Source organism: Homo sapiens, chromosome 14 (assembly GCF_000001405.40).
Source record: "Homo sapiens chromosome 14, GRCh38.p14 Primary Assembly".
Lineage (NCBI taxonomy): Eukaryota > Metazoa > Chordata > Mammalia > Primates > Hominidae > Homo > Homo sapiens.
The window spans coordinates 67,742,957-67,764,492 of NC_000014.9; the positions used below are offsets into that span (position 1 = coordinate 67,742,957).

The 21,536-nt window shown below is 45.1% G+C and overlaps 1 protein-coding gene and 1 pseudogene across 4 annotated transcripts in view; both read right to left on the reverse strand.

Annotated features, from left to right (window-relative positions):
* Positions 1-21,536, reverse strand: part of ZFYVE26 (zinc finger FYVE-type containing 26) — an 87,699-nt gene that overhangs the window by 14,065 nt on the left and 52,098 nt on the right. For 3 of the 4 annotated variants that reach the window (NM_015346.4, XM_047431175.1, XM_047431174.1), the window contains 10 exons: positions 19,716-19,863; positions 19,247-19,456; positions 18,410-18,628; positions 12,992-13,189; positions 12,095-12,294; positions 11,115-11,256; positions 10,751-10,810; positions 9,388-9,570; positions 8,096-8,140; positions 3,566-5,683 (listed from right to left, as the gene is read on the reverse strand). In NM_015346.4, the coding sequence (NP_056161.2) occupies positions 5,480-5,683; positions 8,096-8,140; positions 9,388-9,570; positions 10,751-10,810; positions 11,115-11,256; positions 12,095-12,294; positions 12,992-13,189; positions 18,410-18,628; positions 19,247-19,456; positions 19,716-19,863 (1,609 nt within the window). In that variant the 3' untranslated portion in view covers positions 3,566-5,479. Of the gene's footprint in view, positions 1-3,565; positions 5,684-8,095; positions 8,141-9,387; positions 9,571-10,750; positions 10,811-11,114; positions 11,257-12,094; positions 12,295-12,991; positions 13,190-18,409; positions 18,629-19,246; positions 19,457-19,715; positions 19,864-21,536 lie in introns of those variants that run through there. The other variant, XM_047431173.1, reaches the window with a different exon arrangement.
* On the reverse strand, positions 8,272-8,588 carry RN7SL213P (RNA, 7SL, cytoplasmic 213, pseudogene; annotated as a pseudogene).

The window sequence follows — 21,536 nt, forward strand, 5'->3', positions numbered from 1 at the left end:
AGCCTCCCGAGTAGCTGGTACTACAGGTGCCCACCACTATGCCTGGCTAATTTTCTTATTTTTTGTAGTGAGGGTCTCATTATGTTGGCCAGGCTGGTCTCGAACTCCTGGGCTCAAGTGATCCTTCCACCTCAGCCTTCCAAAGTGTTGGGTTATAGGCATGAGCCACTGTGCCTGGCCGGCACAGAGGTTCTAACCAGGCAGCATGCACAATAGTAATAACAACACTCCTTAATACTATATATTAACAGCTGGGTGTGGTGGCTCACACCTGTAATCCCAGCACCTTGGGAGGCCAAGATGGGCCGATTGCTTGAGCTCAGGAGTTTGAGACCAGCCTGAGCAACATGGTGAACAAACCCTGTCTCTACAAAAAATACAAAAAGTAGCCCAGCCTTGTTGTGCACACCTGTAGCCTCAGCTACTCAGGAGGCTGAGGTGGGAGGATGGCTTGAGCCCAGGAGGCAGAGGTTGCAGTGAGCTGTGATCACACCACTGCATTCCAGCCTGAGGGACAGAGCCAGACCCTGTCTCAGTATAATAATAAAATAAAATAAAATAAAATAAAATAAAATAAAATAAAATAAAATAAAATAAAATAAAGCAAAACTATATATTCACTGAAGAAGGAAGTTCAGGTTTGTGGGTAGAATTGAATGCATTCCATTTTGGACATGCTAATATTTTTAGGTGCATGTCAGCCTTGGGGTGAGTTCCAGGAGGTAGTCAAAAGGCAGATCTGGTGTGGGAAAGAGTTAAGGGGGGCAGTCAAGATGACTGCTGAAGCTAAGGGATTGTATGGGAGAGTATGAGTGTCAAGAGGGAATAGCTAGAACCTTGAGGAATTTGTCTTTAAGTGGGATGAAGAGAAAGCATAGGCAGAGAAGTGAATAATCTGTACAGGAGATGGCACTCGATGCAGGACTGAGGGAAGAGGTTTGACAATGGTAGACTTGAGGGTAGGGTAGAGGAGGTGCTGAAGGAAGGGCTCCAAGAAGAAATAACAACATGCAGAATTAGCGAGCAGGAAAGCATTCCACCAAAGAAGCCATTCAGTGACCAGACATCGAATGAATTTGTTGTGGAAGAACTAAACATTTCAAGGATAGGTCAGTCAACATTATCACTGTGGAATAAGAGATGAAGGCCAGGAAAAGGCCATTTCCTCTGGGGTTACTGTGGCTATCGATATTTGGTTGCTTGGGTATTCAAAGAGTCTAATAGCCTTTGATCTACTTTGCTTAAGCTCCAGCCAAAGATATCTGGTAACCTTGGAGTGTCTCAGGTTTCTAAATATAGCAGTCATCTATCCTAGGTTTAGAGTGGGTGTTCCAACTTTCTCTGTTGTGACATATCTTTGTGCTACGTCTACTACCAGGTGGTTTTCAGGTCTACTTTAATCATTACTGTTGTTTGTTTTTAGATCTTTTTTAATTTTTAAATTTATTTATTATTTATTTTACTTTAAGTTCTGAGATACATGTGCAGAATGTGCAGGTTTGTTACATAGGTATACATGTGCCGTGGTGGTCTGCTGCACCTATCAACCCGTCAACTAGGTTTTAAGCCCTGCACGCATTAGGTATTTGTCCTAATGCTCTCCCTTCTCTTTCCCACCCACGACAGGCCCCAGTGTATGATGTTCCCCTCCCTGTCTCCATGTGTTATCATTGTTCAACTTCCACTTATGAGTGAGAACATGCGATGTTTCGTTTTCTGTTCTTGTGTTAGTTTGCTGAGAATGATGGCTTCCAGCTTCATCCATGTCCCTGCAAAGGACATGAACTCATTCTTTTTTATGGCTGCATAGTATTCTATGGTATATATGTGCCACATTTTCTTTATCCATTCTATCACTGATGGGCATTTGGGTTGGTTCCAAGTCTTTGCTATTATAAATAATGCTGCAATAAATATATGTGTGCATGTCTCTTTATAGTAGAATGATTCATAATCCTTTGGGTATATACCCAGTAATGAGATTGCTGGGTCAAATGGTATTTCTGGTTCTAGGTCCTTAAGGAATCGCCACACTGTCTTCCACAATGGTTGAACTAATTTACACTCCCACCAACAGTGTAAAACCATTCCTATTTCTCCACAGCCTCGCCAGCATCTGTTGTTTCCTGGCTTTTTAATAATTGCCATTCTAACTGGCGTGAGATGGCATCTCATTGTGGTTTTGATTTGCATTTCTCTAATAACGAGTGATGATGAGCTTTTTTCATGTTTGTTGGCTGCATAAATGTCTTCTTTTGAGAAGTATCTGTTCATATCCTTTGCCCACTTTTTGATGGGATTGGTTTTTCTTGTAAATTTATTTAAGTTCCTTGTAGATTCTGGATATTAGACCTTTGTCAGATGGATAGATTTAAAAAAATCTCTCCCATTCTGTAGGTTGCCTGTTCACTCTGATAGTGTCTTTTGCTGTGCAGAAGCTCTTCAGTCCATACTCTACACATTCAGAGAAACTTCTCTAGTAACGAACTATAGAAATGATCCCTCAAAGTATAGTTTGTTTTTTTTTTTTCACATGAGAAATTGGATGAGATCATGTTTCCGGGGAAAGGAGATAATGAGCAGTGATGCCACTGTCCATGGCTCAAGTATCATACTGCAAACATATGCCTGAAGTGGGTGGCAAGAAAACAGTTTAAGCTAAGTTTGAGTTCTGCTTGCCCCAAAGACCCTACACCTGGTTTCAAAGATTGACAATTTGGTTGATATTGAAAAGATATGTAGAGCTTTTAAAATGACAACAGCTTTTTAAAGCATTTTAGAGGGCTGGGGCACAGGGCCAGGGGAAGTAGCCCTGTAATTCTAGCACTTTGGGAGGATGAGGCAGGATTGCTTAAGCCCAGAAGTTCAAGACCAGCCTGGGCAACATAGTGAGATACTGTCTCTACAAAAAATAAAAAAAAATTAGCCAGGCGACTGCACTCCAGCCTGGGTGACAGAGCTAGACCCTGTCTCAAAAAAAAAAAAAAAAAAAAAAAAAAAAAAAAAAAAAATTCACTAAAGAAGAAACCTTTCACCCATCGGACTAGCATAGATCCAGAAAATTTGGTATTCTGAACAAGATAATTCAATGCAGCATAATCTGTAGTGGCGAAAGATGGCAACAACATAAAATGTCCATCATTAGAAACTGGTTAAATAATTGTGGTATAGCTTCACAGTGGAACACTTTAGTCATTTGCTCTGGAACTGTACACTAGACACTGATAACAATGGTGGCCTCTGGGAGGGGACTGGGCTGGGTGGACAGGGTGGAAGGGACTTTTCACTTACCTTTTGCACCTTATAAACGTATTACCTATCTCTACCCATCCCCCAACTGAAGCAAAAAAAAAAGTTTTCTGGTGGTAGAGGGTGCACTAACAGTGTTTAAACACATAGGAAATGAGATAAATCCTAAGCAAAGTCATTAGTCATTATGGGGATTATTTAGACTAAGTCTGAATTGAAGGCCATCTGATCTTCCCCACTCCCTTTTCTTTCCACAAGGAAAAAGGATGCAAAGGGTAGGAGCAAGACAGCACCAAGAAGTTATGAAGCCAAGAAACATGTTGATAGACACTTTATTGTGGCTTGTTTGTAGTAAAACATTCAACCCCTCAACATGGGTATCTGTTTTGGTGGTGTTTTTCTGTTGGAGACTACAGCGTGGTGTTCAAAGGCTTTTAGCCTCATCTCATATCAGTCTAGTCAGTGGTTGCCTATAATTTGATAGTTCAATGAGTTAGAGGAAAATGTCAGGAAAATCTGGTCTTATCCCAAATTAAGGGCTGCAAGATTTGTGACCCATTAGTATAAAGTGCTTATGTTCAGTGCAAAAAAGGCAGACTCAGAAGGGCAAGCAGACGCCAGAGAAGGACATTTCCTGGGAGATGGATACGTTCTATGACTCAAGGAAGGAAAAGCCAAACTTTAGCCCAAATGGGTCTAGTAGTTTCATTACAGTCTTTCTCCTCTCTAACAGGACCAAAACTTCTCATCTGACAGATGTCCATGAGTTGTTTATTTTACTACTAAAAATCTTGGTTCAGAGGGAAATCCACAGGGTTTCTGAGCACCAGAGACACTGACTTCAGCTTCCAGTTTCTGTTTGTCTCAGCATCATGGATGGGACCAATAGGCTGAGCTCTGGCCAGTGAGAGGTTCAGAGCTGCAGAGCTTTCTTTAGGCCCCACATTTGCAAATTGAAGTCACTGAGTATGACACACCTTTTCTCAAACATTGTCACATCTTGCGTGGGAAGACAAGACAGTGCATATTAAAGAAGCACTTCACCTAGTTTTCCACCAACCAGATGTGACCTATTCATTATTCCCTCATTCTGACTCTGTCCAGAGGCCCAATTCCAAAGCCAACCCTTGACTCCCTTTTCTAAGACAGAGAAAAGAAGCGCACTCCCTTCCCAATGACCCCACATGTCTGCATATCCATCCTGTGGTCCTGAAGAGACTGAAGGGAAGCAGGAGGGAAAAGGAAGCAGCTTCCTAACCAATTCAAGGAGCGCAAACAGGACTGCAGCTCAAATAGGTAAAATCGAGTCATTCAGTCCTAGGATCCTGGCCACCTTTTCTCTCCCCAGACTCTCAAAGAGGAAGTCCCATTCTCTCACCCACCAACTTTGCAGCAGGGACATTCACAACAGGCAGCTCTGTGCTTGTGAGCACCCGCTCCCCCCACCACCCCCCACCGCCTCCCCTGTATCCCTGTTTGGATGGTTAGCCTTTCTTTCCCTCTTGCCCGTGTTAGCCTCACAGACCTGATCATTTATACACATACCCACAGCTTTCAGATGCCTGCACCTGAAAACCCTTCTATTCAGACTACCTTCCAAAGACTCCAGGACTTCTTGTGCTTGGGAGAAGAGACACCTGGAAAACAGGTTTATTCCACAGGTAGCACTTGCCCCAAAGCCATCTCTGAATTTTGGAATGGGAAGGAAGGAAAAGAGGCAATCCTTTTGGTGTTGCTCTAATTCTCTGTAAAAGCCCTCTAGGTAAGAGGAGCTACTAAAGCACGTCCACAGAGGGGGGACTATACAAACAGGACAACCCGGGTCAAGAACCAAAACGCAGGGAAGGTTTTCAGAGTGGCAAGTCTAAAGTAAAGTGCCTCTTTTAAATGGAGAAGAGTTTCATTTGTTCAGAAATGCTTGGGCGTAAACATCAGCGCACAGGAACATGCACACGTGTGTGCACACATACTCACTCACTCACTCTGAGGTAGAAAGAACTGGCCATCTCCAGACAAACACACATAGATTCCACAATTTTAGAGAAACATGGCACTTGCGTGAAAGGTCCTATCCTTGCCCGGGAAGGCAAGTAGGGTCCAATCCAACTCTTTCCAACCTAGGGCAGAGCCAGAGAAGTCCCACTCCACTGGAGGAAAGAGGTGGAGGGCATCGCCATCACTGCTGTTGCCCAGCTCTCAGGCCACGTGTTCCTGGCCCCACTGCCCAAGGTCACTTCCTGGAGCCTGGGCCATGGGCACCCCGGGGGTGGCTTGTCAGAAGCCACTGGGCACAGATGTCTTGCACTACTGCATCCCCGCTGCTCTTGGCGGCCTGCTGCACCTGCTGGACAAGGGCTGTGGCCCGTGAGTGTTCTTGCTTCACAGCAATCAAGTAGGCAGAACGCAGTTTGCAACATATCAGGTAGGCCCGAACCTGGCAGTCAGTTATAAGAGACAGCGGAAAGGCATCCATCACCGACAAATCAAGTATACAGAGCTGCAGCAGAAAGCTCGGGCAGACAGACACCATGTCTCACCTGCCACGTTCATAACAGGATTCATGTATTTTATGGTATTATAACAACTCTTTCAATATTCTGGACATATGCTATAACACTGTGTTATTTTATAGTGTAAAAAGTTATTACAAATAAGCTAAGAATTTAAAAAAGAAGGCAGGCCAGCAGGCAGTTTGGTCTCTGTCCACTCCCTCTGACACTCTCCTCCTCACTCTCCCAGGCTCTCCAGCATCTTCTGGGGTTCAGGATCAGCATTGCTCTCGCCCAGAGTTGTGATTTTGTAGTTACTTGAGTGATTATTTGGTTATGCCTGTCTCCTTGATCAGACTTTAAGCTTCATGAGGGCAAGAGTAGTGTCTGTTTTTTCTACTCCTGTAGTATTCCTGGCACCTAGCACGGGGCCTGGCATGTAGTAGGTGTTCAATGAATATGTATTACAGGAATGAATAAACCATCAGAACCCTCCCAGAATGGACACATAGATCCTCCTCTATTTTTCTGTTTTCGGCCAGCTGAATCTAAAGTTTTTTTTATAATCACAGGAAATCTGGGGAGGAAGACACACACACACGATTGGAAAAAGTCGAATTAACGTCTAACCCCACTTAGACCTGATTTGACTCTGCCTGCTTGGACCAAAGGCAGCTGTTGCAGGATATGCGTATGTGTCTATGTCCCAGGATCGCTATCTCATGAATCCCCAGCTTGGTGGAGACAAAAGTCCCTTCCTTTCTGGCCCTGGTCTCCCCAGCACCCCCTGGTTAAACAGTGCTCTAGGCTGGTGAGCAGAGAGGCCTTCATAAGCTGCCACAGAGCTTCTGCCAGCAGCTCCCTTTCTGCTGCAATAATCCCTGTTGGTTAGTGGAGGGGACTCGCCTTGCTTCCTGTATCAATGCTCCATCTGTTATTTGTTTTGGTCACTAAAGTTTTTCTTTCCTTTCTAAGCTGAATTATAGATAATCTCCTACAGCTAGATGATGTCTGGCATGTTCTGAGGTCACTAAAGTGATCCAGTCCTGTGCCGCTTGGGAATCCACTTGCTGCCCTAGGATGTTAGCTCTCCCCAGGCCTTCAGCTCCCCTTAGCATCTATGTACACTAAGCTAAATACATATCACAAGTTGGCAGGCAAAATTCCTACCAAGAGAAGAAGGGCATTTTGCCAGAGAGTCTGGAATGGAGTTGAATGAAGTTGTTTTTTGGCAAGCCCCCATGGCCTAAGCTCATTTAACTGCATTAGACAGCTGCTGAGAGAAAAATACCTGAAAAAGTAATAAGGACTGTCTCTATTTTAGAGCGTGTCTTTCCCAGAAATAGCGTCTCTGTCCTGCTGAGTGGGAGGCTCAGTGAAGGCTTGAGAAAGAACTGCAGTCTGGGAATCAGAGGACCTGGGCGTCTGTCCTGGCTGTTAGGTTCTCAGTCTGACTCTAGAAAAGTAATTCTCTACATTTCAGGATGTCAGAATTTCATCCTTTCTGACATCATCATGATGTTACAGAAATAAATGAAGAAATGTTTAGAACTTATTCTCCTTAACCCTGGAGACTGAAAAATGCCCATTAAGTTCAGTCCCAGGATTAGCAATACTGCCATGGGGAGCGTGTAAGAAGCTCTTTGCCTGACGTCAGTTTTCATCACAGGGGACTCAGCTGTCAGATAATTTTTCTGCCACTGGCTTTCTCATGCCCCTCCTGGCCTGGGACCCTTCCTGCAGATGGCAGAAGGATCAATCCAGTGGTCAGCCACAAATGGGGGCATCTGGGAAGATTTTTATTCTGACTGGCACTCCTCCCAAAGGCAACGGGAAGCAAAGGTTCACCATTTTCCCAAACAGGGACGAGTTCTTTGGCCCCTGAGGAGAGGTTCATTCTGGAGACCGAGACATTGTTGGACATTGTTGGTCAAAGTGTGGGGTGGGGATTTTTTTCTTACTGTACCTTTTTCCCTCTAGGATAAAGAGATACCTGCTTACTCTGGGAACCTCAATCCATCAGTCCACCCAAAGATGGAGGTGAGGTGAGGGATTTCCTAGGGCTCTCTGAGAGAAGACATCAGTATAAAATGGAGATTCAAGAGCAGCCTAGGACATGTTTGTCTTGGGGATAAAGACTTGGGAAGGCAAAGACGCATGCAGTCCATGTTCACCTGCTCCTCATCTATTCCCTCCTTTCTACACCCCTATCCAAGCCTCAGCTCCACCTCTGATAATACAGAAGCTGAGATACGGGTTGTATGGAACTATTGTGGGGAGCAAGGGATAAAGGTGACTAGGCAAGCCTGAGACACAATTCATTGGCATCACCAGCGTTTGGAGACAATTCCGCTCACCTTGTTGTCATCATTGTGTATTGCCTGGATCAGGCCCTCCAGCTCCTGTGCAGAACAGAAACAGCACTGTGAGAGGGAGAAGAGTCCCGCAGTCTGGGAGCCAGGGCCCAACCCAGCCTCAGCCCAGCCATTCTGACTTCAGAATGAAAATGTCTGCCTGACTTTTTTTTTCTCAAAGACATGGGGTCTCACTATGTTGCCCATGCTGGAGTGTAGTGGCTTTTCACAGGCATGATCCCACTATTGATAGCAAAGGAATTTTAACCTGCTTCATTTCCAATCTGGGCCAGTTCACCCCTCCTTAGGCAACCTGGTGGTCCCCTGCTCCTGGGAGGTCACCAAATGGATCATGAACTTAGTGCAAGCACTAAGTTCTCACACTAAGTATGTATCAGCGTAATACACTATAGTCCAAAACTCCTGGGCTCAAGTGATCCTCCCGCCTCAGCCTCTAGAACAGCTGGGATTACAGACATGTGCCACCACACCCGGCTGACTCTTCTTTTTAAACTCAACTCCTGCTTTAAGAACAAGAAAGAAGGCCAGGTGCAGTGGCTCACGCCTGTAATCCCAGCACTTTGGGAGGCCGAGGTGGGTAGATCATGAGGTCAGGAGACGGAGACCATCCTGGCTAACATGGTGAAACCCCATCTCTACTAAAAATACAAAAAATTAGCCGGGCGTGGTGGTGGGCGCCTGTAGTCCCAGCTACTCAGGAGGCTGAGGCAGGAGAATGGCGTGAACCCAGGAGGCAGAGCTTGCAGTGAGCTGAGATACTCCAGCCTGGGCGACAGCGCGAGACTCTGTCTCAAAAAAAAAAAAGAACAAGAAAGAAAATTTAACCATAACACTAAGCTTCAGAATTTAGGGAGAAGGAACAGTTCCCAAGAGGCCTGTCCTCGGCCTTCACAAATGGATGTGGCTCTGTTCACTCCACAAAGCCACCATGGGAGGACAATTCCGCAGATAACAGGCTTCAAAGTTCATCTGCTGGCCCACCCTGACCTCCTCTAGAATTGCAGGAAGAAGCTCAACTCCATAGACACATCCAGGTGCAAACAAATTTACACAATGGGATGTTGAGGGTCACCTTCTGGGTATAGATGTCATCTCCATAAATTTTCTTTACAGGGAAGGGTCAATTATGGTGAGGCCATTATTGCAGAGGGGTTCAGAATGATAAAAGGATCTTGTAGAGTTTCAGGCACATTATGGAAAACAGAACAATAAAGATGGGGATGTGAAGACACTGAAATTGATGGAGGAGCCAAGAGGTACGGGAGGGAGTGTACCTGGGGCGGAATTCTCTTGAACGCTTCCAGGCAGTTGAGGAGGATGGTGTCCCCGTCACTTTTGGCTGCCATGCCTGACTCACTGACACATTTGAGCAGTTGCTGGATCTCACTGTACTTCTCTTTCTCCACCAACTGGCGGGCAGCTCTGCAGTAGGTCATGGCAGCATCCAGCTGGAAGTCCTAGAACAGAACACAACATGATGGGCTTAGGAGCAGGAAACGTTAACGGTGGGGAGGGAGGCAGCATTTAAAAGCTCTCACTATGCTTGGTGTAGATAAGCCATATTGATTGTGGTCACAGTAGAAAACATAAATATACCAAACAAAAAGCAAGCGTCAATTCCTCTTTGGAGTTAGGTAGACCTTTAGGAAGCATCCACAAAAACTGCAGCTGTAGTATCTAAAATGGTACATTTCACTTGCTGCGGTGGCACTCACTGAAAATATTCTTATCAAAATCCTAAGACTAGTTCACTTTCTTGAGAAATGGGCATTGGGGGATGGTATTTGCTGCCCTGGACACCTGGTGCTCTGTTAAGACGCAGGTGACTTAGTGTTCAGAAACAGACCCATTCACTGAAAGACTCATTTGCTGAAAACTGCCAGATAAACACCTTAAACCTGGTCTAGGAGAACCCTTATGCCACAGGGCCTGGGTGGAGCTGCCCCTCTGCCTGCCTACCAGGGTATCTGTGTGTGGTGAGCTCTGTCCAACACCAAAAACAGATGGGAAGAAAAACACCTGACTAATCATGTATGAAGCCATTGATCACTGACACACTCACAATGCATAAATACCCTGCCTGCCCTAAGCTGCCTGCTCTCAGCTCCTGGGGTATCTGCATGGAGCTGTGTGGTGGTGGGCAGGTCTGAAGAGACTCTGCCCCTCATGGTCTCAGTGCCCTGCTCCAGCCCCTGCTCCAGTGCCACAGCCCCACCTGTGTCCTTTTATCACAAGCAATAGGAAACATATTCCTCCAGCCAGCTCCTGTACAGACCAAGGATGGGGAACAGCCCTTGTGGCCAGTGGAAAGCCCCTGGCCACCCCTCCAGCCATATTCCCTGTGAGAACCAGCAGTGTTTCTCAGGGAAACAGCTGTGGGGAACTGTCTGAGACCTGGCTCCTGGTATTTATTTGGTAGCTTTTGATGAATTTGTCATGGGTTACTTGGCTTCTGGCAAAGTGGCCTAGAGTCTTGAATTTGACCCAGTTCTGTAACAGTCACATCCTTGATTTCATCCCTAATGTGCATGTAAATCCACTTTTCTTGGGATAAGAATTTCCTAAAGAATAATCTCTCCCGGAACTGTGGTCAGGTGCTGATTGTCCTCAGTATGATTTGAATGATCCAAGTCATACCTGCAGAACACGGAAAGCAATTCCAAAACCATCTTCTACATTTTTCCCTCCCAGCATGACCTGAAAAGGAAAGGGAATCATGCTTAAAAACATGGCAATTACTAGAGAATACTCTTGACCAAGAATGAAGGCCTCTATTTATTCAATTATTCAACAAATATTTGTTGAGACCCTGCTAAGTGCCAGGCACTAGGGATATAAGAATGATCAAAATGGACCTGATCACCAGTCTTTGGTGGCTCATATTCTAGTGGGGAGGCAGCCATCAAACAAACAACTGAAATAATCACTAGACAACTGCAATTATGATAAGTGTTCTAAAAGATGACAATAGTCTGCCAGAGGTCTGAAACGCTGCATGTACCTTGCAGGCAACATCCATTTTCATGTGGTTATTTCCAAACAGGGTTGGCAGAGGCAAAGTGGTGATTTGAGAGGTCCCAGCACTTTCGCACCGATGCAAGAACCTGGTCACTTCCATCTGCAGCTGAAGTGTGTTCATGTGCCTGTGGTGACAGAATATGCACAGTCCAGCCTCATGAGGGGCCCCAGGTGACTGAGGCCAGGAGACTGAGAAGTCGAATAATATGGCAATGAAAAAGGGAAAACAAATGATATAGTGGGAAAAGAGACCTCAAGTACCTTGTGAGCAGTTATGACAAGACCAAAAAAATGGTGATCTCGTGTCCTGCACAGACTCACAATATTATGGTGCACTGTGGAACCAGATAGGGTCCAGTCATTGAATCGATAAGCATTTATTGAGCACCTATGTGCCAGGTACAATAACAGAGGTCAAGAGAGATGAGCCCTGCCCTCAGAGTTTATAGGCTGGAAGAGAAATGAATAGTAAACAAACACATAAAATAGTTAGCAATTAAGCCTCTGGAGGCAATAAATGGTAGTGGTAGAGCATTTACTCCAGATGTTGTGTTCTATGTAGAGGGACTGGCAAGTATAAAAGCTGAGAGGAATTAAGGACTTGGTGTGTTGAGGAGCCCTGAGGAGGCCAGGGATCGATGCTTAGCAAGAAGAGAGTAGCAGGAGATAAAGATGGTGACATCAGTAGGGGCCAGAACGTGCAGGAGCCTTTTGGCCTACTGTAAGGAGTATGGAGTGTAGTCTGATTGTAGCCTGTGATGCTAATCCTCCCTCCACTCCCACTCCCACTACCAGCTCCTCTGTAGGCTTTCTAGGCTTGTACTACACACTGTCATCCAGGGATGATTCCCTTTAGATTTTTTTTCAGGATTCAAGGAATGGACAAGAGTAGCTTCATCACCTACAGACAACTGCTCCCACCCTTTCTGCCCCACACCAATAGTCCCCTGAACCTCCAGCTACCTTGACACATCAGCTGCAGTCATCTTCTTTCTGAAGAATGTGGTTTTCTTCCTTCCAGAGCTGCGGGATGTTTCTTGGAGGTAGATCTTCAGGTGGTCCTTGGCCTTAAGTAGCCATGAGAGCTTCTCTCCCAGTTCTGTATATGACTTTGCTTTGTGACTGAAGAACCGAATACAGGTCATGGCGGCCCGAACTTGGTCCTAGAAGAGGAAAATAAATGTTCAGGTCAAAGTAGATCAGGGGTTTGGAGGGTGGGGTGTGATGAGAATTCTCATCTGATTTCTGCCTATGAGACCTTGTTTCCAGCACCCACTCCCACCACCAGCTGAACTGCTATTTTGAGCCAGTCACCCCCAAGGTCCAAGAGATCCTGAAGTGCACTGACTGGTGGAGCTCTTGGGTAGGACATTATTCCACCACCGAAGAGATGCTAAAAGAAGATATTTCTGATTCTCCACTCAAATTGGCTTCACTTGTACTTTGGCATTAAATAATTCAATTTAGTACTGACTATCCTCAGGCAGATTGGGAGGAACGTGTTCCTTCTCCCTTCACATATTTTCTCTAAAAACACTAACGTTTCCATCATTCCTTATGAATTCTACATTCACGCCTCATGCTTATCTTGAAACTACCATTTATTTCTTTTTTTTACCTGTTCATTTCTTGCTTTCTGAAGAATGCCTTTATTGACAGGATTAAAGTCTGCCCCCAAACTTAGGATGGAAATCCTAATATTATTTAACAATACTGGAGAGCAACATGGATTTGCTCTAGGGTCAGCCAAACAGCAAGGCCAGGGACCAATGACAGTCTCATTCCCTCATCGTGCACTGCCTCTCCTGCAGGGTGGGGCACCAGCAACAGAGGTAGAAGGCAGGAAGGGGCTGCCATTACCTTCATAAACTGCTGCAGCTCATACAGAATGTGGTAGTAGTTCTTCTTCTGTAAATGTTGGCAGGCAGCAATCAAGTACTTTCCCCAGCTCTCCAAGGTTGGATCAATGGATTCTAGCAAGTTCTCCAAAGTGTGTAGCTTCCCACTTTTATAGCTTGGTTGGAAAATGCCTTCTATAAAAACTTCTGGAGGACTCTCCTGGAGCAGGGCAGGGCGAGAAGTCAGAAGTCTTGAGCCTGGTTCTGGCACTGTCTGGGATCCACTCTGAATTTCCTTCTATTGATGAACCTTCAGCATCCTCCCAATGCAGTGCTTCTTAATCTTTTATGTGTCACAGATACCTTTGAGAATCTCATTCTAGCGACTGCTTCACTTCTCTCCTTCCTTTTACAGAGAAGCCCCTAGACAGGGTTATCTACCCTCACTGTCTCCAATTCCCTCCTGTGATTTTTCTCTTGAACCCACTCTAATCTAGCTCTGCACCCATAATTCCCATTGAAACTGCCCCTTAGGTCACCAGTGACCACTAAACTGTAAATCTAACAGTTAATCCTTGATCCTTATTTTCTATCTGATCAATCAGCAGCTTTTGACAGAGATGGCTTCTTCCTCCTTGAAAAGCCTTTTAAAAATAATTGAGAAAAAACTCTCCTCAGTTGGCCTCCAGCACACTATCCTCTCCAGATTTTCTGTCTATGTCTTTGGCTGCTTCTTCTCAATTTTCTTAGCTGATCCCTCCCAATCTCCCCAGGGCTTCGGAGGAACCTACACTCTTTTCTATTTATACTCACTCTCTTGGTGATTTCATCCAGGCTCACTGTTTAATATACTGTTGATTTGCTGATGATGCCTAAATCCCCATCTCCAGATTGTTCATTCCTCCTGAACTCCAGAACTGTACATCCAACTTATATCCAATTGTCTACTGAACATGGCCACTTGGAGATCTAACTGAATACATCTACAACTACATTCCTGCTTGTTTCTTGAAACCTGCTCTTTCCACAGTCTTCCCTTTCTCAGTCTGTGTCTCCATTCTTTTAGTTGTTCAGGTCAAAAACCTTAGTCATCTTTTCCCTCACACTCCTTCATCAAATCCATCAGCAAATTCTATTGGCTCCACCATCACCATTACAGCACACAGAATCTGGCCACTTCCCACCACCTCCCCTGGACCACACTGGATCCCTGCCATCATCGTTTGTCTGGATTATTGCAACAGACTCCTCCCTGGTCTATCAGCTTCCATTCTTACCTCTTGTCAGTCTAACGCCCACAAATGAGCCCAAGTGACTGTTGAAACTGAAGCCAGATCACGTTACTCCTCTGCTCACAGTCTCCCAGGGGTTTCCCTTCTCATCCCTCACAATGTCCACAAGGTCCTGTGTGATTTGGCCTGTGACCTTTCTGACTTTATCTGATAGTACCCTGTCCTAGTGGACTCTGCTCTAGCCACCCTGGCCTTTGCCCTCATCACACCCTCTGCCTTCCCCATAGATCTGCATGATTTGCTCCTCGTGTTCTTTGGAGCTTTACTCAGATGTCACCTTCCCTGGGCACCCAGTCTAAAATTATACAAGCCACCCCTTCCTCCTCCCTGTTTTATTTTTCTTCTTCTTATTCATCATCTACAATATCTATTTTATTTCTCATGTTTACTATCTCTCTTCCTACTATGGGGCAGATATTTTTGTCTTTCTTTCTTTCTTTCTTTCTTTCTTTCTTTCTTTCTTTCTCTCTCTCTTTCCTTTCTTTCTCTCTCTCTTTCTTTCTTTTTCTTTTTTTAAGACAGAATCTCACTCTGTAACCCAAGCTGGAGTGCAGTGGCGCAATCTCAGCTCACTGCAACCTCCGCCTCCTGGGTTCAAGCGATTCTCCTGCCTCAGCCTCCCAAGTAGCTGGGAATACAGGCTCGTGCCACCATGCCCAGCTAGTTTTTGTATTTTTAGTAGAGACAGGGTTTCATCATGTTGGCCAGGCTGGTCTCAAACTCCTGACTTCAAGTGATCCACCCACCTCAGCCTCCCAGAGTGCTGGGATTACAGAAACGAGCCACCCTGCCCAGCCTTTTGTCTGTTTTTTTACTACTGTATCCTTAGTGCCCAGAATAGTCCTTGGCTATTTAATAATCATCTTGGCATTTAGACTTGAGGTTAGGAGTAATTAACGGAGAGTCAAGGATGGCTATAAAGTCACAGTGGTATAACATGCTAGCATAGTGACACTGGGCACAAGCTGTTTGGAAGCAGAATGGATCTGGGTTTTGAGAACATTCATAGTGGGTGAGGGTTAGGGGCTTCTTTCCTGATTCAGGTTGTTCCTAACAGAGAAAACCAGACCTAATCTAAAAGTTGTAGGTCACATTTTAAGAAGCAGGGGCATTAGCTCTACAGGAGAGATAGAACACCTCAGAAGGGCAGCACCTCAAGAACTTCCATGCCATCCATTTATCTATCCACTCACTCATTCATAATTGGTACTAGGTCAGGTGCCTGAATATACAGATAAGTAAAATATAGGCCTTCTTGGTCCAGATGGAAAGACTCAATTGTAAACAAACAGTGGCAATCCAGCAGGATAAATGCAGTACCAGGGGCAATGGTGGCTAATGCTGCTTGAGTGTTCTGTGAATGCTCAACAGAGAGGGCCTGAAAGGATACTAAAAGGATAAATAGAATTTTATTTATTTATTTATTTATTTATTTTGAGATGGAGTCTTACTCTGTCGCCCAGGCTGGAGTGCAGTGGCGCAATCTTGGCTCACTGCAACCTCTGCCACGCAGGTTCAAGCAATTCTCCTGCCTCAGCCTCCCGAGTAGCTGGGATTACAGGCACCTGCCACCACACCCAGCTAATTTTTGTAGTTTTTAGTAAAGACAGGGTTTCACCATCTTGGTCAGGCTGGTCTTGAACTCCTGATCTAGTGATCCACCTGCCTCAGCCTCCCAATGTGCTGGGATCACAGGTGTGAGCCACTGCTCCCAACAAATATGAATTTTTTAAGAAAACAGGCTGGGCACGGTGGCTCACGCCTCTAATCCCAGCACTTTGGGAGGCCGAGGCGGGCAGATCACAAGGTCAGGAGATTGAGACCATCCTGGCTAACATGGTGAAACCCCGTCTCTACTAAAAAAAAAAATAGAAAAAATTAGCCAGGTATGGTGGCGGGCGCTTGTAGTCCTACCTACTTGGGAGGCTGAGGCAGGAGAAGGGTGTGAACCCAGGAGGCGGAGCTTCCAGTGAGCCAAGATCGTGCCACCGCACTCCAGCCTGGGCGACAGAGCCAGACTCTGTCTGAAAAAAAAAAAAAAAAAAAAAAGGAAAACACAGAAAGGCAGGGCACTCTAGGTAGAAGAAATAGCACATAAAGATTCGTGGAAATAAGACAGTGCATGGTGGCCAGGCGCGGTGGCTCACGCCTATAATCCCAGCACTTTGGAAGCCCAGGCAGGCGGATCACAAGGTCAAGATATCGAGACCATCGTGGCCAACATGGTGAAACCCTGTCTCTACTAAAAATACAAAAATTAGCCAGGCGTGGTGGCATGTGCCTGTAATCCCAGCTAATCAGGAGTCTGAGGCAGGAGAATCGTTTGAACCTGGGAAGCAGAGGTTGTAGTGAGCTGAGATCTCACCACCGCGCTCCAGCCTGGCAACAGAGCAAGACTCTGGCTCAAAAAAAAAAAAAAAAAGTGCATGGTATATCAGGAAAATTTAAGTAATTTAATGAGTCTGGAATGTAAGGTACACATAGGATTTGTGGTGAAAATAAATTAGAGAAATAAGGAGGCCTGATCCTGGTTAGTTCTGTAGCATGCTAAGGAATCTGAAGTTCTTCCTATGGCCATGGAGATCCTCTGAAAGCCTTTTAGGGAGGGGAATAACATGAATCTATTTATGTTTTAGAAAGCTCAGTCTTTGGGCAGAGTGGGCAAAGGGACAAAATACACAGGGAAAAGGCTAGGGACAGAATGTCTTCCATGCTCCAGGCATTCAGGTGTAATTTTCACAATGTCTTTTCTCCTCTCCCTACCTGCTTGAGAATAAATGTAAGATATTTCAGTTCAAGGGTAACTATGATTACAGCAGAAAAAAAGAAGGCTTATTTCCTAGCTCTGACAAATATAAAGCAAGGGCACTGCTGTCGTCAGCTTATACCAAGCTAATGAAGTAAGCAGCTTAGCTCTCTGGATTACAGCTGTCAGAGGGAACGGAACTAGGTGATTTCCATTCCCAATTTGTGCCTGGGAAAAGCATCTTTACTGCTAAACTCATCTGGAAACTGAGGAAAAGGAAAAAAGTTAGCAACTCAACTCCATATAACATGACTTCTACATTATTCTTAAGACCTGGTTAGTAGCTAAGAATAGTCAGTAGCTAAGCACTGGTAAAAACACCCCCCTTCAGTGTCCTGTAGGGGTATAGTCATAATAACTTTGTGAACTGCTGATTTCACTTGGATCAATCTTAGAAAATATGTCTATCTGTACATTTGCATTGGCTGCTGTTTTGAATTAGGGTGGCAGAGTGAAATTAAAGTCTGCCTTGAGCTCCTTCAATTTCCTACAAAATTTGGTACATCTCAGCCAATTTCTCCAAGTTATTATGGAACATTCAGATAAAAAAAGGAATGTAGCTGGGTGCAGTGCATGTGCCTGTAGTCCCAGCTACTCAGTAGGATGAGGTTGGAGGATTTCTTGAGCCTAGGAGGTCAAGGGTGCAGTGAGCTGTGATCATGCCACTGCATTCTAGCCTGGGCAACATAGTGAGTCCCCATCTCGAAAAAACAAAAACAAAAAAATGGGTCACGGTAAAACGAAGTCCTGATTGCTTATTAAGAGCTCCAAAGATGTAATGTTCTTCAGTGGTGCCTTTGCTTCCAGTGGGAGGGGGGCAGAGGATGGGAGAAGAAAAAAAGGAGAGCATATTCTTCTTTCATCATCTATTTGGGGTTCAACTATAGGATTGGCACCATGGTTACTTCCTGGCCCTTGTAGTAACAACTCTGAATGGACCAGCAGCTGGGTCAGAAGCTGGACACCATCCCAGGCCAGGTAGGGAGGCGCGTGGAAGCAGACTCTAAGCAATATGCCCAAGGCCACACAAGACTCACACTGAGCATCTCATTCCAGAGACATGCTCTTAACCACTATCCGATTCTGCTGCATGTTTTGGCAGAAGGAATGAAACATGCCTTTGCTGGTGAGGGCAGTGATTTGGGATCTAGGCTAAGACTTTTCACACTCACTGAATAACAGTTGTGCAGAGTCCCCTGTTTTGACTTGACTCTGCTAGAGATGGCCCCATAGCTCAACACAGGGTTAAGTGTCAGGGGGTTATTGTCCCGCTTAAGGCTGAGTGGTCCAAGCCAGAGGAGTAAGGCAGGCACTGCCTTTTTGAGCTGTGTCCATGTCCCACCTTGTTGAGAAGGTGCAGAAGAGCTTCCCGCAGGCAGCTGTGCCTCACGTAGAAGCTGATGATGGCCAGGTTGGTGCTATAGTTGTGCAGGTAGAAGAGGCATTCCTGGTAGTAGGTGTTGTTCATGATTTTCCCTTCAGGAATCACTGCCAGAGAAAGGCTCTGCGTCCGAAGGGTAGCTTCCAGTTCCCTCAGGGTGGCAAAGTAATCGTCATCTTGCTGACAGCACAGGGAGCGAGAGAGAAAAATGAAACTCAAAAAGTTCTCAGCAGGCACTGAAAATATTGCTTGCAAAGAATATTTAACAATGTGCACACCAACATGGCACATGTATACATATGTAACAAACCTGCACGTTGTGCACATGTACCCTAGAACTTAAAGTATGATAAAAAAATAAAAAAACAAATAAAGAAAGAATATTTAACAATGTGGAAAAATGTTCATAATTTTTCAGTGTCAAAGGCAGAACAGGCAGGATACACAATTCTACATATTATGATATGGGACAACCCCAGTTTCATTAAACAACATAACATAGAAAATTCACCAGAATTTTAACACTAATCAGTCTGTGTATGGGATTATATGTCATATGTCATTTTTATCTTTTTAAAAATTGTCTCCTTTTTTTAAAAAAAATTACATCTATTACTTATCTAACCATATATGGTTACTTATCTAACTATATGTGATGGAAAAAAAAAATTTTTAACCTGCTTGATGCTGAGCCAGGACTGACACTGTTAGCTGAATTTCCACTGATTCTTTTCCCAGGTCATTGCTATTCCTGGGTCTCCCTCCCTGAGCCAGGCACTCTTCCTGCCTTGCTCTTACCAAGGATACAAAGGGCCTCACTGTGGACTCTAGGTACTCAACCACATCCTGCACCAGCCTTGAGCCATGATTCAGCTGATTGAGGTCAAATGGGGGCTTCAGACAGCGACTGAACTTCTCCCGTGCAGCAGTGAGGTTCCCGGCTTTGAGGCAGGCCATGCCCCAAGCATGCCACGCCCCGGTGGTATCAAGCCCAGTCTTTGTGGAGACCTGGGAGAAAAATTGCCCCTTTTAGTGAGTGGTAGCTACATTCAGGCCTAAATGTCCCAAAGACCTATTCTATTCCCAAGTTGCCAACCACCTCATTCCCACTATCTGCCATTACTTCTCTGCTGGCAAACTAGTCATGTCCCCGATTCTACCCCATGGGCAGGACAACTGAGAGACGGCAACACCTGTTTGCAAGGCTAAGCAAAAGCAACTTGCTACAGTGGGGTGGAAGTAAGCTTTGTCTTTGTCTTTGTCTCACCTCAACGCCCAGTTGGTAGTACTCGGCTTCCAAAAGCTGGTTCCTTAGCCTGGTTACTGCAGCTGGCTGCAAGATCTGATCCAAAGATGGCACGTGGCGATAGGCAGCAGCAACTAAAATATTCAGCACATCTACCTTGCTGATGTAGCTACAAGGAGGAAAAGGGCAAGGCCATGAGGCTCCCTAGTGTCTTACTAAGAGTAGCCGCTTAAAGGTTTCCTATTCCATTTTCTTTTTTCTGTTTGTTTTGAAACAGAGTCTCGTTCTGTCACCCAGGCTGGAGTGCAGTGGTCCGATCTCGGCTCACTGCAACCACCGCCTCCTGGGTTCAAACGATTCTTCTGTCTCAGCCTCTCCAGTATCTGGGATTACAGGTGCCTGGCACCTTGCCCAGCTAGTTTTTGTATTTTTTTAATAGAGACAGGGCTTCACCACGTTGGCCAGGCTGGTCTTGAACTCCTGACATCAGGTGATCCGTCCACCTCGGCCTCCCAAAGTGCTGGGATTACAGGCCTACTCCATTTTCAATGTGAAAGTGATCATGAGAATTGAGAGTTGCATAGCATAGATGTCATGAGTGAAAGCTCTGGAGTCACACTGAATTATGGCTCTATTACTTAGTAGCTCTATGACCTGGGGCAAGTTAGTTAACCTTTCTCTGCCTTAGTTTACTCATCTGTAAAATGGATATACAGTCATGTGCCACATAATGACATTTCAGTTAGCAATGAACTGCATATACAATGGTGGCCACATAGGATCATAATATCATATTTTTACTATACTTTTTCTATATTTAGATACACAAATACCATAGTGTTACAATTGCCTACAGTATTCAGTACAGTAACACGTTGTACAGGTTTGTAGCCTAGGAACAATAGATCATAACCTAGGTGGGTAGAAGGCTATACCCTCTGGGTTTGTGCAAGTGCACTCTATGGTGTTTGCACAATGACGAAATCACCTGACAATGCATTTCTCAGAACATATTACTGTCGTTAAGCAATGCATGACTGTGACAGTGGAGTTTTAAAGATAAAATGAAATAACCCAAGTAAAAGGGCTTAGGATAATGTCCGGAACTTTTCTGGCACTCAATAAATGTTAGATATTAATGTTTGGAGTGGGGATGCTCAGGGGTATTTGAGGCAAGGCCTTTACACTGTATGTTAGGGGCTTACAAGTGACCCATCTGCTTTTTGGTCCTTTTGAACCCTTCTTCGTGAGTGAGAGAGCACAGATTCAGTATCAATGGCCTGTATTCCTGGTCAGTGCACAGGCCACATCGCTACCATTCCCTGGAGATGCTGCTGGGTGGAAGCATCCTGGTCCTTCACTCTTATTCTAGACTTGACATCCTCACCCTGGGTTAAGGATGGGCCCTCATTATAGCCTAGTAGGGCTGCCTTCTGTGATCTCACCTGATGCTTGTAAAAACCTTATAAGGATAGAAAGCCCAGAGGGCTGGATTATACTGTCTAGTGCTGCTGAGACAAGCCTACACTCAAGGTTCCTGAATCTCGTCTCATAACTGCAGCAAAAACCTCTGTGGATCCTGACTTATCCACCAATTACCTAGAAAGGGATTCTGTACATCAGTGATTCTTAACAATGTAGGGATGGGGGAGAGGAAAGTATAGTGTATAAGAGCATCGGCACTCATAATATTTTTGCATATTTGGGAAATGAAAACATTTGTAGTAGGTGGTGAGTTTATTTTTATGTTTTTAGAGACAGGGTCTCACTACATTGCCCAGGCTGGTCTCGAACTCCTGGCCTCGGGATCCTCTTCCCTCAGCCTCTTGAGTAGCTGGAATT